Source organism: Homo sapiens, chromosome 17 (assembly GCF_000001405.40).
Source record: "Homo sapiens chromosome 17, GRCh38.p14 Primary Assembly".
In the NCBI taxonomy this organism is placed as follows: domain Eukaryota; kingdom Metazoa; phylum Chordata; class Mammalia; order Primates; family Hominidae; genus Homo; species Homo sapiens.
This window is the reverse complement of record NC_000017.11, coordinates 83,146,103-83,161,403: the sequence shown is the minus strand read 5'-3', so window position 1 is coordinate 83,161,403 and position 15,301 is coordinate 83,146,103. Positions and strand designations below refer to the sequence as shown.

At 50.5% G+C, this 15,301-nt stretch overlaps 1 long non-coding RNA gene across 1 annotated transcript in view, besides 2 other annotated features; it reads right to left on the bottom strand.

Annotated features, from left to right (window-relative positions):
- LOC101929650 (uncharacterized) overlaps window positions 1–15,301 on the bottom strand; it is a 71,977-nt gene that overhangs the window by 54,011 nt on the left and 2,665 nt on the right. The gene's annotated exons all lie outside the window — the stretch shown is intronic.
- Window positions 8,913–9,428: an enhancer, noted in NCBI's record as "H3K4me1 hESC enhancer chr17:81099745-81100260 (GRCh37/hg19 assembly coordinates)". NCBI's record gives its function as "activates a minimal SCP1, AML or CMV promoter by ChIP-STARR-seq in primed H9 embryonic stem cells {active_cell/tissue: H9 hESC(primed)}" and the evidence as "EXISTENCE:reporter gene assay evidence [ECO:0000049][PMID:30033119]".
- Window positions 9,429–9,944: an enhancer, noted in NCBI's record as "H3K4me1 hESC enhancer chr17:81099229-81099744 (GRCh37/hg19 assembly coordinates)". NCBI's record gives its function as "activates a minimal SCP1, AML or CMV promoter by ChIP-STARR-seq in primed H9 embryonic stem cells {active_cell/tissue: H9 hESC(primed)}" and the evidence as "EXISTENCE:reporter gene assay evidence [ECO:0000049][PMID:30033119]".

Here is a 15,301-nt window from a genome sequence, read left to right as displayed (position 1 = left end):
CAGGAAAGCCCCCCGAGATCTGTGTGCCCAGAAGAGGCAGGGGAAACAGGGAAACCTCAGGGGATCCCAGGACAACCGTGACAAACCTGGGCCAGGGTTGGGGCAGCCGTAAGGCCCTGATGTGAGAAGAAAGCCTCCGGCAGGACCGGCAGCTTCGGCTGAATCCTAGCTCAGCCACTGTCCAGCTGCGGGCCACAGCAGGGAGAGCTGCCCCTGCGATCGGGGACGCCTTGGCCACTCTGGCCAGCACTGGCTTGGGCCTGCACAGATACGCACCTGTCAGTCACCAGACCCTGCATGGCCGGCATTCCCAGTCAAGAGCCTCTGGTCCTCCACACCACCTTCCCTGGGCCCCAGCCCACGCCAGCCCCCTTCCTTCAATCCCACAGCCTCCTGCCACCCTCACAACCACCCCTCCTGTCTCTGCTCAGCCCCCTTCTCCGTTTAGGCCCGCCCTCCCCCACATGCCCCAGGCAGCATCTCCCCCAACCTGAAGACTTCAAGGCACATTGAGAAAGAAAAGGCCACAGCAAAGTGGACGGGGCACTGACAGTCATGAAAGCCGAGGTGAGAAGAGTTCCTAGAAGAAGAAAGAGTGAAGAAAGTTTACAGATAACACAGGTGAAAAGCTGCAGGGGTCTGTTGGCAGTCTGGGGGAGAGCAGAGCCAGCAGCAGAGCCAGCAGCAGGAGCTAGATAGAGGGACTGGTTAGGGTGAGGTGAAAGCAGACATATGAGGGGGTGTCTCACTCAAGGCACACCGGAGGCATGGGAAGCCCCACAGAGGAGAGAAGCTCAGGCAGTCTTGGAGGGACAGGGAAGGCCTCTGAAGCTGAAGAGAGGAATCAACTCAGACAGGGGCTGAGCACCCAGGAGTGAGGCCTGAGGGCCAGTGTCAGGAGCACCGGCAGAAGGTTCGGGGACAGAAGGAGACATACGGAGAAGGGGACCAGGAGTGCAAGTCCTGTGGAACACTGTGGAGAGAAGTCCCATGTTAATGTCCTTGGTTTTCCTGGATGTCAAGGAGATGGTGAGGTCCTTGCTCAGAGTGAGGGGTAGCTTTTGGGTAGAGGGTGCAAGGATTTAGGGAAGCAGTTAGCTAGGAGACGCAAATGACTGAAGAGTTATCAAGTAATTGAGTGTCAGTGGTTCAGACAAGATTAGAGATGGTGTGTATAATAATTAAAATGCTAAACTCTTAGATGAACTAAGCAGCAGAGTGGGCAAAAATAAAAAGAGAATTATTGAACTTGAAGATAGATCTAAATAAGTTACCCAGAATGCAGAACAGACACTCAGTGAGAAGGAATATAGTAACGTGAAATGAAGAAACATGAAGAAAAGACTCCCACTTTTGGCTACAACAGAGTATCTGGTATGAGACTATCCCTCCTACCACAAACATTATAAACTGGAGGAAAAAAATAGGAAACATTTGTTCTAAGACAATAGACAACAGACAGAGCTGTGATCTCCGAGACAAAGACAGCAAGCAAGGTGAACCCTACGACACCGCGGCGTTCTTCCTGGAGGCGCTTTCTGGCCCCAGCACAGGGAGAGGAGCTCAAGGAGAGCAAAACAGTTTAACTGAGCTCGGAAGACAGGTGCCAGAGCTCAGAGAGGCCAAGGCTCCTGAAAAGTATGGGCGAAGTACCAGAGATGGAAAAACCATGTGGAGAAAGAACCCCAGAAATCTACATGGTGGTCCTGGTGGTCCCCTTGTGCCTTTGGCTGAACATTAAGCCGCACATATGGGAGACCCCGTGCGGGCAGGCAAAGAGCACTTAGTGGGAGCTGTCATCTGAACGACGCCCAGAGCCCCACAGGCTAGGAGATGCGGTCTGACCAATCACAGCAAACAGACCTTGGCAAGACGCGACGATAAGAAATACTGCTGAGTTATTACCAGAAACAAGGAAAGGCAGAACCCAATGGCAGAACACCTGTAATAGAAGGTTCTGGGGAAAAAATACAACAGTCAACATAGAATCCAAGACTCAGCAAAAATCTTTCAAAAATGAGGTGATAAAATTATAGCATTTTCAGACAAACAAAAATTGAGAGCACTTGTCACCAGCAGATGTACAAGACAAGAGATGGAAGTGTTCTTTATGCTGAAGGAAAATGATTCCAGAGAGGAACTGGGTCTGTTCCGAGTAACGAGGAACACTGGCACCAGTAAATATGTGGCAAATACAAAAGCCCCTTTTCTCATTTTTAATGTCTTTGTCATAAATGTGTCTCTTTAAAGCAAAAATAATCACAATTTATTATGGAGAATTATAACACATATAGAAGTAGATGTATGACAATAATAGCAAAAAGGATTTCAGGGAGAAAATGGAAGCATACTATTGAAGAGTCTTACATTATAAGTCAAGTAGTATAGTAGCATTTAAAGGAAATGTTATTAAATTACAGAGGCGTGCCTTAAACCCTAAAGAAAGCACTAAAAGCATTAAAGAAAGAGGCATAGCTGATGAGCCAACAGAAGAGATAAGACGGAAAAATACTCAGTATACCCAAAGAAAAAAAAAGCGGAAAAGAAAAAAGGAGGAATAAACAATAAATGAAACAATAAGATGGAAGACTCAGTCCCAACTTTCAGTAATTATATTAAATGAAAATGGACCAAATACTCCCATTAAAAACGCAGAGAGATTGGGCCGTGCACGGTGGCTCATGCCTGTAATCCCAGCACTTTGGGAGGCTGAGGCGGGCAGATCACCTGAGGTCAGGAGTTCAAGATCAGCCTGACCAACATGACCCTGTCTCTACTAAAAATACAAAAAAATTAGCTGGGCGTGGTGGTGGACACCTATAGTCCCAGCTACTTGGGAGGCTGAGGGTAGGAGAATCGTTTGAACTCGGGAGGCGGAGGTTGCAGTGAGCCAAGATTGCACCACTGCACTCCAGCCTGGGTGACAAGAGCGAAACTCTGTCTCAAAACAAAAAAAAAAAAAAAAAAGGCAGAGATTGGTCTAGACACTGCCATAAACCAAGAAATGAAATGAAAGTCATACAGATTGGAAAAGAAGTTAACTGTCTTTATTCATAGGTAACATGATTCTATTCATACACAATCCTAAAATATGTATCTAAGAAAACTACTAAAACGAGTAAGTGAACTTAACAAGGTCACGGAATATAAAACTATACAAAAATTAGCTGTATTTCTGTATATCAGCACAATTGGAAAATGAAAATAAGTAACAAACAAAAACAAATATTTACAAAAGCATCCAGAAGCATGATATACTTAGGGATAAATTTAACAAAATGTGTGTGGGGCCTGTATACCAAAAACTATAAAACATTGCTGAGAGAAATTAAGAAGAACTAAATTAATGGAAAGACATACCACGTTTATGGCTTAGAAGACTCAATATTGTTAAGATGTCTTTTCTTTCAAATTCATCTATAGATTAGACTCAATCCCTATCAAAATCCTAGCAGGCATTTGTTTTTGTAAAAATTGATTCTAAAACAGATTCTAAAATTTATATGGGAAGGCAAAGGACCTGGGATAGCCAAAACAATTTTGAAAAAGAACAAATTTGGAGGATTTACACTACTTAATTTCAATACATACAATAAAGCAGCAAATAGTAGAGTACTAGTGTTAGGATAAGCATGTAGATCACAGAACAGCACAGAGAGTCCAGAAACAGACCTATATATATATATATTCTCCTACCCCAGCCTCCCAAGTAGCTGGGACTACAGGTGTCCACCACCACACCATGTTGGTCAGGCTGGTCTCGAACTCCTGACCTCAGGTGATCTGCCCACCTCAGGCTCCCAAAGTGCTGGGATTATAGGCGTGAGCCACTGTGCACAGCCCAATATATATATGTGTATATATATGTATATATGTATATATGTGTATATGTGTATATATATGTATATATACGTATATATGTATATATACGTATATATACATACAGCCAATTTTATACAGTGCCAAGGTAATTCAATGTGGAAAGGACAGTCTCAAGTCTTACCTCATACCATACGTAAAAATTCAGTCAAAAGGGATCATGGAGCTAAAAGTTAAAGTTAAAACCATGAAACTACTAAAAGACAACATAGGAGAAAATCTTTGTGACTTTGGTGTTCGCAAAGGTTTTTTAGCAGGACACAAATCATCAAGTGAAAAGAAAATGTTAATAAATTATACTTCAAAATTAAAAGCCTTTGTTTTTCAAAAAGAACTATTAAGAAAATTTTTAAAAAGACAGACTGAAGAGAATATTTGCAATACATGTATCGGACAAAGGACCTGTACCCAGAATATATACAGAACACTTGCAATTCAAAATAATTTTTATTGCCTGTAATCCCAGCTACTCGGGAGGCTGAGGCACGAGAATCGCCTGAACCCGAGAGGCGGAGGTTGCAGCGAGCCGAGATCGCACCATTGCACTCCAGCCTGGGCGACAGAGGGACACTCCATCTCAAAAAATAAACAAATACATAATTTTTATAAGCAACTCAATTCAACAAATGAGCAAAATATATAGAAAGTTTACAAAAGACGTATGAATGACCAATAAACACATGAAATAGGGACCAGTATCTTTAGTTATCAGGGAGGTGAAAATTAGCCTCAATGAGACACCACTCCACACCCACCAACGTGGCTAAAATTTAAACTACTGGTAAAATCAAGAGTTGCCAAGGATGAGGAGCAGTGGGAACTCTCTCCTCTGGTGGAGCATGAATCCATAACCACTCAGAAAGACGGTTTGGCGTTACCGACAAAAGTTGAACAGACACACACTCTGACTCAGCAATCACAGCCCTAGATACACACCCAGCGGAAACGCGTATGTTCACCCAGCCATGGCAGCATATTCAAAATGGCCATAAACTAAGCAACCCAAATAGCCATCAACAATCGAACAGACAGGTATAGTGTAGCCTATTCACACAATGGGCTGCGGCATGAGAACAAGGGGTTCCACTCACATACGTTAAAACAACATGCAAGACCGGCAGAGGTAGGGACCATCCTGACCTCGGGGAGGAGGAAAAGTATCATAAGTGGAATTGTCAGGACGTCCATGGCTCACTCTCTCCTTTCCTTTGAGTTTTGCTCAGATGCCTACTTCTCATTGAGCCTCCCTGACAATTCCATCTAAACAGCAGCTGCCACTCACTGTCATGCTCGATTACCATTGTCCAGAGAACCTTCCATCACAAAGTCTGTCTCTCTCCAACATAGACATAACTGCATTTGAATGGGCTTCAAGAAGGCAGATGCTTTTGTCAGTGACACTTTTCTTGACACACAGTAGGTGTTTGATTACTGGAGCGAGTGAGTCACTGAAGGGCAAGGCAGGAGAGTTTCCCAGGAGCACGCTGAGACCAACAACCAAGCCACAGGGTTGGCATGTGGGGGCAGTGGTGCAGGGACAGGCATGCGGCCAGTGGAGCCGACCACAGAGCCCAGAAACAGCCCGGCACACAGAGAAGGCCTGGGCCCGACAGAGGTGAGGTGCAGGCCTGCGCACGGTGCCAGGGACTGGCCACGCACATTAGGAAAGCGAAACTGGATCCCTATCTTCAACCAAACACAAGGAAATTGCTTCCAGATGGATGAGGACTTGTGATGGGGGCAAGATGATGGAAGTAAAAGCTACAGGAGAATATCTCCCACACTCGAGGCCAGGAAGGGTTTGTTCAGATACAAACGAGGAAAATTGTGAAAGACAAGGCTGACGCACGTCCTACGTCCAAATCTACCATCAGAAGACAAAAGACAAGGGCAAAGGCAGGGCATGAACTGGGAGGAAACATCTGCAGCACACACAGCTGATGAGGTTCATGTCGGGAGCCACAGGGAGCCGTGACTCAGAAAGCGAGAGGTGGCCCCGCCGGAGGGCACAGGCAGGCACTCTCGGGGATGCGTGAGGATGGCAAGTTCTACTTACAGTCAGGGAAACTCAAAGTAAACCGCAAGCAAGGCCACTTTATACTCACCAGATTCCCAAACAGAAAGAGCCGGGATGGGGCCAAGGGCTGCTGTGAGCACCGGAGGAACCTCTGCCTGGGACTGGCGGTGGGCACCTACCCGCTGGCTCAGGTCTGAGCTGGGGCAGGGCCAGGTGAGGGAACAATGGAAGGTTGGCTCAACTTCCGTTTCACGTGGGCTCTCACACCCGGGGTCAATACAACCACCGGATGCCTTCCTGAGGAGGTCCAGGGTCTGTGGGAAGTGGGACCAGCAACAACCCCACTGTCACCCGGGGTCTCAGGGTCTATGGGGAGGTGGAGCTGGGGACCCCACTGTCACCCAGGGTCTGAGGATCTGTGGGAGGTGGAGCTGGGGACCCCCCTGTCATATGAGGTCTGAGGGTCTATGGGGAGGTGGAGCTGGGGACCCCCTGTCATATGAGGTCTGAGGGTCTATGGGGAGGTGGAGCTGGGGACCCCACTGTCACTGGGGGTCTGGGGGTCTGTCAGGAGTAGAGCTGGGAACCCCACTGTCACCTGAGGTCTGAGGGTGTGTAGGGAGTAGAGCCAGGGACCCCACTCTCACCCAGGGTCTGAGGGTATGTGGGAGGTGGAGCTGGGATGTTCCAGGCTTTCTAACCTGCTCTCCCATGGAAGTACTGAGCTGGGGCCCTGGAACAGGTGCCTGGGAACTTGGTGAGCTCCTGGGGGCTGAGAGTTTCTCGGCTGGGAGAGGTTTTTCTTGTGAAGGAGGTCAGGGCTTGACTGGGAAATGGCGGCAGCCTCAGGACAGGCCGAGTGGTGCAGGAAGACAAGAATCATCTTTCACAACAGAGCGGGAGTGGGATTTTAACAAACCATCCCCTTGTCCCCAGAGCGGGGGGGCATCCCGGGGCCCAGAATTGTCCCCTTCCTGGGTGGTCCCACCCTCCCAGGCCCAGGGCTCTGTGGGAGCAGCGGAGAAAAGCCCAGGAGACTTGGCTGGTGACTCTCTGAGAACAAGTTCCTGGATTGGGTCCCAGAGGCCCTGGAAGGCCCCTTCCCACCCCACACATATCATGAGGGGTGCAGGGGACCCACGGGGACCCCACTCGGACCCAAGCTGGGGCCCTTCCTGACCCACAGCCCCCACTTTACTTGGGGAGCAGTGAGGGCCGTGACGGGAAGGCCTGAGGCAGCTGCTGGGGAGTTTCTTGGGTGGAAGAGTCTTTTCTTATGAAGGAGATGGACAGCTCGACTGGGAAGGGGGCGTGGGGACAGTAAACGGGGGACGTAGAGTGGGGCTCCCCTGCTCCCCACTGTGGGGAGGGACAGGCGCCAGGCGTGCAGGGAGGACCCTTGAAAAGGGCAGACGCCAAGGCCAGATCCCGCTTCGCCCCCCAAGGGCACTGGCAAAGGTCGTCTCAGCCTCGTTTCCTCACCCCCTCTCGAGGGCAAGGTCCCTTCGGCCTGCAGGATTCTGGGGTTCCCAAGTTCCCCGACTGACAGACCAGCCACGGTGGTGACAGCAAGGTCTCCCTGCCGCCCCTTGCCACAGGAATGCCTCGTGCCTCAGGAGGCGGTGGCCCCCACAGCCTCAAATCCCGGCCAAATCAGACATCCGGGAAGGAGGCAGGACAAGGGGGTCCTGCCTGTCACCCCGAGACGTCACCGGCGCCAGGGGCTGGCCTCCATGGTGTCACACCTGCAGCATAGGTTGGGGGGGCTCCCTCCCCCCAGCGGGGCAGGAGGCAGGCAGCACCGACGTCCCCACACAGCTGTAACCCGGGCACCAGGGCCAGCGGCTCTCACACATGCTCCTGAGTATTTAATAATATCAGGTATTTAATCATAAGCTCACAGAACTGCCCACAGGACTAAGCCCAGAATCCAGAGCCTGAGCAGGGGCCAAAGGAAGCAGCAGCCCCAAATTAACAAGAAGTGGTGAGAAAATAGGGAACAGAGAAACTGCGGGTGGGGCCGACATTTGTCCTCCCAGTGAGCCTTCCGCAGCGACACTTTTGGAAAGTGATGGTGGCGTGGCCGGGCACGAGGCCAGCGGAGCGGACACGACAGCTGCTCATAGACGGGGTTTGGCTTTGACGTTTTTTAAATCCCTCGTTCTCGGCCACAGTGGAAAAAGTCTCTTTTCAGTGAAGTATCCCGGGTGCCAAAGCACCCGGCCATGAGGTGGCGGAGCTCAGGCAGCTGATGGGTGAACGGGGGATGCCTGGCCACGGACGGGGACCACAGGCCGCCCCCACGGTGTCAGGTCCTCACTAGGTTCCGTCCAAGCCTGAGATCCGAGGCCAGGCTCGAGTCCCCACACCCGTGGCCTTTCGGGGACGGGGGCCTGAGGGGTAGCCCCTCGCCCGGGGCCGACTGTCCCCCCCCGAGGATGCGCGCGGCCCCCGCCTCAACCCGGACACCGCGGTGGGCCGTGAAGCCGCCGGACTGGGGCCTTCCCTTTGCCAGACGCGGTGCCTCCAGCCCACGGTGTTGCCGCCCACGGGCGCCTCCTGACCCCGAATGCCCTGCTGGGGACGCCCTCCCCATTCTCGGCCCATCTCCACGGCCAGCCTGGCTGCGGCAGGAAGGGTTCCTCACTCGACCCTGTGCCTCTCCCTGTGAGCGGAGCCCCACGGCCGCCCTGCTCCGAGCTCTGTGCCCCGAGCGACCCCTCTCTACCGGGCCCCATCGGCCTGCCTTGCACGCGTGGGTCTCCTGCCTGGTTCGAGCCTGAGGCCTGGGGCCCTGGACCATCTCCCTCTCCTGCCCCCAGGCAGCGTCCGCTGTCACTCCGTGAGTTCGCGACCCCTCTCTACCGGGCCCCATCGGCCTGCGTTGCACGCGTGGGTCTCCTGCCTGGTTCAAGCCTGAGGCCCTGGACCATCTCCCTCTCCTGCCCCCAGACAGCGTCCGCTGTCACCCCGTGAGTTCGCGACCCCTCTCTACCGGGCCCCATCTGCCTGTCTTGCACGCGTGGGTCTCCTGCCTGGTTCGAGCCTGAGGCCTGGGGCCCTGGACCATCTCCCTCTCCTGCCCCCAGGCAGCGTCAGCTGTCACCCCGTGAGTTCGCTCCAGGTGTCTTCTCCCACGGCCCGTCCCGGGCTCCCCTTGCTCCCCGTCCTTTCTGGCTGCTGGGACCCTTTGTGCGTCCTCAGCCTCTGTTCCCACTGAGATTTCCCGACCAGAACTCCGGCCCAGCAGCACATTCACCTCCTCGGGCACTTTACCAGCAGGGCTGCCTGAGTCCAGGGCAGCCCAAAGCGGGCAGCGGGGGGACACCCAGGACCAGGACAGAGGCTCCGGCCCTGGGACCCAGGCCAGAGAGAGACGCAGCTGACCTCACAGTCGCCTGCTTCCTACACCCGAGTTTTCTCTGGGGTAGAGGGTGTGCGGACGGTCCTTGGCCGCCTGTGGGGGAAGGCGGCAGACGCATCCTCCCCTTGACCCTGCAGGGCCCAGAGCCCCAGCTGCCCATGGGAGGGTGAGGTTCCGTTTTCGCCAAGGTCACCAGCTCCTTCTGCCCACTGTCTCCCTGCCACCCGCAGTTCCTGCATAAAATCCCCAGCATGTTCCAGCAACAAGGCTGGTGGCTGTGCAGACAGCAGGGGAGGGTTTGAACTTCGTGCCGATCTCACTCCCTGGTTCCCAACAATTTGAGGAATGTTGGAGGTCCGGGTCAGAATGTAAACAAGGAATCATCACAGAACGGGCCCAGGTCAGTGAACCTCACACTGAGCTGCAGGGAGCCCCCGATGCCTGACGACGTCGATGTGTCTTTGGTCTCATGAAAATACACAGCTCAACTTTTGCACACGGAAGCCTGTGTCTTAAGCCAACGGCTTTCAGATTCCAGAAACACTGCACATGATTGTTCCCGTTGTATTTTCCCTCCTCGCCCTGTGGGCTGGGTGAGCGCCTCGGGGCTGCTGTCTTGGTGTGTGAAGTTCAACAGTGTGCTGTGGCGACTTCCTTCACTGCCGGCCCAGAAGGGAGCTCGGACGCCCAGAGCTGCACACCCACCACGTCTGTCCTGGCGAGAACAGCGGCTCAGCCTCGACCGCAGAGGCCGGCAGACCGACAGCTTTGAAGGGGGCTGCGCCGAGGAACAGGCCTCATTGAAGAAACAACACAGAGCATCACACGAAGGTCCACGGGGAGGGAAAGAAGGAGTTTGGTAGGAAGACATGCCACAGAAAGCAGGGATTATGAGGAGACTTGATGATTCTGCCATAAGAAACAAAAGCTCCAACAGAGAAACATGCATATGGGGGTGCAAAAAGCTGGGTTGACGTCCAGCTGGGTGTGGGGGCTCACGCCTGTAATCCCAGCCCTTTGGGAGGCGGAGGCAGGAGGATCGCTTCAGGCACAGCCCGAGCAACACAGCAAGACCTTGTCTCTGCAAAAAGTAAAAATAAAACATAAACAAATTTAACCAGACATGAGGGAGTGCACCTGTAGTCCTACCTACCCGGGAAGCTGAGATGGGAGGATCACTTGAGCCCAGGAGGTCGAGGCTACAGTGAGCTGATTGCACCACTGCACTCCAACCTGGGTGGCAGGCTGCGATCCTGTTTAAAAAACAAAACAAAACAAAAAGAAAAACGGAAAAAGAAAGCCAGACTGAGGATGGCGGGAGGGAATACGAGCTTGCACTGCACATTTCATGCACTTCATGCTGTTTTCATTTTCTTAACATGATTACATATTATTTATAGAAAAATGAATACGAGAGAAGCAATGCAGTGTGGAAAGGGCCTAGACTTGCACGGATGCTGCTGTGTGGATGAGGCCATCCCTGCGGACCGTGGCCTATCCCAGACATGGTCTCCCAGGCCACAAGGTGAGGGCTGCAGTGACTGTCTTCAAAGTCATCTTCTGAACCTCCATGGCACCAGGTCCCTGTGCAGCCACAGCCATCCCCACCTTCCCTGTTCTGAGAGAAACACTCCCTTCTGTTGCCTTCAGGTTGAAGGGGGCCCCTGCTCCTGGGAGCCTGGGGTTGGGAGCTGGGCTGCACCCACTCTGTCTGAGGACAATGTGTCATACTCTTATCATCCTCCTTGATGTCTACAGGAGGGATTGTCCTAAACCACAGCAATGGAGTTCACAGGAGAGAAGGAAGGGAGTAAAGTAGATTCCAGAACAAAGGGAATGGTTCTGTAAGGCAGCTCCAGGAGAAACGAGGCAGAACCCAAGCTCTCAAGGTCTTAGGATTTCGTGGCAGTCTGTTGAGGGGCACAGAGCTACACCAAGCGGGTTCCACCACGGTCCTTGAAGGGGGCGGTCGCGGGCCATTTGGTCCCAGGGGCTCTGTTCGGCTCACACCTAGACTTCCCTGGGCACAGGCCTGAGAGGACGCCCGTGCACCCCATCTGAGTTCCTCTGAGTCTCTGGAGCTGGGCCACCAGCAGGGAAGGAGAGACCCTGAAATGGAGCCAGAAAGTCCCAGCATGAGACGCTGCTCCACCAGGGGAGGGAGGACTGAGCAGGACATGAGACCAGGAGGCCCGTGGAGAGTGAGCCTGGAAAACCACGAGGCTCCTCACAGCTCCATCATCGCACATGGGCCTGTGGGGAGCCCTGACTCATGCTGGAGATACCATGAGGAGCAGCTGCGGTGAGGAGTGGAGGTGGCCCTGGTGGAGGATGCACTGGCTGGCTGCGTCAGGCTGCTCTTGCATACATACCTGAGGCTGTGTAATTTATAAGAGAAAAGGTTTAACTGGCTCATGGTTCTGCAGGCTGTACAGGAAGCATGGCACCTGCATCTGCTTCTGGGGAGGCCTCAGGAATTTGCAGTCATGGCAGGAGGTGAGGGGGGAGCAGGCATCCCACATGTCAGGAGTGGGAGCAAGGGGGAGGGAGGTGCCACACTTCTACACAACCAGATCCATGAGAACTCACTCACTATGGCAAGGACAGCACCAAGCTATGAGGACAGGGCTGGACAGGCCTGCCGGTGATGGCCATGTTGGGGTGTGCCTTCAGCACTGAGCAAGACTCCGGCGGCTTGTCACAGAGCCAGCAAGACCCCCGAAAATCTTCTGCGGCAGCTCTGAAAGCTTGGAGTACCCGAAAACTCAATGCCCAGACAAGATCCACATTCCTTGTTTCTAAACTAAAGCACAACTTCTGCTCTTGCAAAAGGAATGAGATGAGCTCTGCAGGCGAGGCCTCCTAACAGGCCATTAGCATCTCCCATATTTGGGGAGTTTTTGTCCCTCTGTTTATGACTAATTAGTGTAGATAGGAACAAAAATGTTAACAAGGAGCACAAAAGCCAAAGCCTGCATGGTTCCAGCCAATCAGCACAGTTGGCGGGTGTGTTTCCAGGCCAGACGCATCTGTAATGAGATTGTACTTGATTCAGATACCATTTTCTGTGTGGCTCTTTAAGGGACAGGAAAGTGGAAAAGCAAAGCTATGAGGACCAGTCGGTGGCCCTTTCCCAGGTCTGACTGGCCCTCTTACTCCCATGCTAGGAGCTGGAGTCAGCAAGGGTGCACTGGGCCCCACGTCCAGCGTGCCTCAGGGCCAGCACAGGACAAAGGCACAGAACACCTGAGTGGCAACTGGCCCTGGCCCGTACCCGGGCTCCTGACCCAGGCCCCTCCTGCACCCTCACCTGGCACCAACTCCCGGCTCGTGCCCCCAACAGTGACCATCCCGTCACCCACACTCCAGCCGCAGCCCCCTCCAATCCTCATTCTGTGCAGGAAGCAGGGTGGAGGGCAGCCCTGTGTTGAAGCATCTGGACGTCAGCACTGCTGAGCATTTGTCTGTATGTGGTGGGGAGGATGCCTCTGTGACACGACCACACCCCAGTCCAGAGAGATGCTTGGGGCTTTCCTGTCCAGACCACGGGGGGAGTTTGCCAAACTCCTGGTAGACCCAGAGTCAAGGAAGGCGAACACAGACAAGAAGCTAACATTTACTGAGCCCCTTTCTAGTGCTAGCCACTGTGCTGCGGGGGTCACCATGTCATCACGTGTGACTGGGAAGCCTGAGTCAGATGAGCAACCACAGGGGATGCTGGGGGTCAAACAACAGGGCCCAGGGCGAGGGCTGGGATGTGAAATAAAAATCTGTTTACCCCTCCCGTCCTTTTACAGTGGGGTAAAAAGATGGGGCACAAGTGACTAAAACCAGGAGAGACTAAAACCAAGAAGGGAGAATCACTATGGATCCTGCACATGTTAAAAGGGTTATAAAACAATAATATTAACAACTTTATGCCAGTAAATTAGACATCTTACATGAGATGGACAAATTCGAAGAAATACACAAATTACCAAATCTGACTCAAGAAGACAGAGTATGTGAATAGACTTATAAATAGTAAAGACATTGAATAATTAAAATCATCCTATAAGGAAAAGCCAGATGGCTTCATTGGTGAATTCTAGCAAATATTAACAAAAGAAATAATACCAATCCTTTACAAACTGTTCAAGAAAACAGAGGAGGAAAGAAATACCTGTCAATTCACCTGATGAGATCAGTATTGTCCTTACATCCTAGCCAAAGACATCACAAGAAAAGCAAAGCACAGCCCCATATCTGTCATGAATATAGATACAAAAATCCTTAACAAAATATTAACAAAGGAGGATTTATATCCAAACATTGGTTTAACATCCAATACTTAACTAATGGAATACAGTAACCACAGAATAAAGAACAAAAACCACATGATTATCTCAATAGACTCAGAAAAAGCATTTGAAAATATCCAACACTCTTTCATAATAAAATATCTCCACAAACTACAAATGGAAAAGAAAATTCCTCAATTTGACAAAGGGCATCTGGGTAAAACCTATAGCTAACATAATACCTAATGGTGAAAGATTGATTAAAATGTTTTCCTCTAAGATCAAGAATGAGGACAGTATGCCCACCCTCATCACCTCTATTCAACATTGTACTTGAGGTTCTAGCCAATGCAGCAAGGTAACCAATAAAATGAAGGCATCTGTATTGCTAAAAAGAGAAGTAAAGCTCTTTGCAGTTATCTTTTTGCACAAAATTCTAAGAAATCCACCAAAAGTACAACTGAAACTAAGAAACAAGTTTAGCCAGATGACAGGATACACAATTTCAAAAATCAACTATATTTCTACATGCCATCAATTGTAGCTCTATAATAGCCATGAGTAGGAAAATTAAGAAAATAATTCTATTCATAGTAGCATCAAAATGTGAAAAAAGGTAAGTTAAATTTAACAAAGCAAGTACAAAACTTGCTGAGAGACTTTAAAGAAGATCTGAATAAATGGAGAGACAGCCAATGTCCATGGATTCAATGTTGTTAAATAGCTATTCTCCCCACATCAGTCTGCAAACTCAATATGATCCATGCTGAAATCCCAGCAGGCTCTTTTTGCAGAAAATAACAAGACAGTCCTAAAATTTATATGAAACTGCAAAGGATCCAGAATACCAAAACAATTTGGAATAGAAAAACAAAGTTGTAAGACTTACATTTCCTAATTTCAACCCTTACTACAAAGCCACAGTAATCAAGACAGTGTGGAAACGGTATTAAGAATGGACTTATAGATTAATGGAACAGAACTGAGAGCCCAGAAATAAATCCTTACATTTACAGTAAACTGATTTTCAACAAAGGTACCAAGGCAGTTCAATGGGGAAAATGATAGTCTTTTAACAAATAATGCTGGGAAAACTGGATGTCCAGATGCAAGAAAGGTGGATATAGAACCTTTCCTCACACCATACACACAAAATAACTCAAAAGGTATCATAGACCTTGATGTGGTTTGGGCATGTCCCCACCCAAATCTCAAATTGTAGCTCCCATAGTTCCAACCTGTCATGGGAGGGACCTGGTGGAAGGTGACTGAATCATGAGGGTGAGTCTTTCCCATGCTGTTCTTACGACGGTGAATAAGTCTCACAAGATCTGATACATGGGAGTTCCCTGAACGAGCTCTCTCTTGTCTGCTGCCATGTAAGACGTGCCTTTTGCCTTCCACCATGATTGTGAGGCTGCCCCAGCCAAATAGAACTGAGTCCATTAAACTTCTTTCTCTTTATAAATTACCCAGTCTCAGGTATGTCTATATCAGCAGTGTGAAAATGGACTAATACAGACTGAAACATAATAGCTAAATCTCCACAACTTTTAAAAGAAAATACAGGAAAAAAAATCTTTGTGACCTTATATTAGACAAGAAATCTTAGATGCCACACCAAAACCACAATCCTTAAGTTACAATCAGAAAATTAACAGAATCAGTGCCAAGGGGATGGGCAAAGTAACCCTAACAGGGACATCATTAATATGTAGAAGCTGGGGGCACCCACCTCCAACACAGGGACGTGCCTCCCAC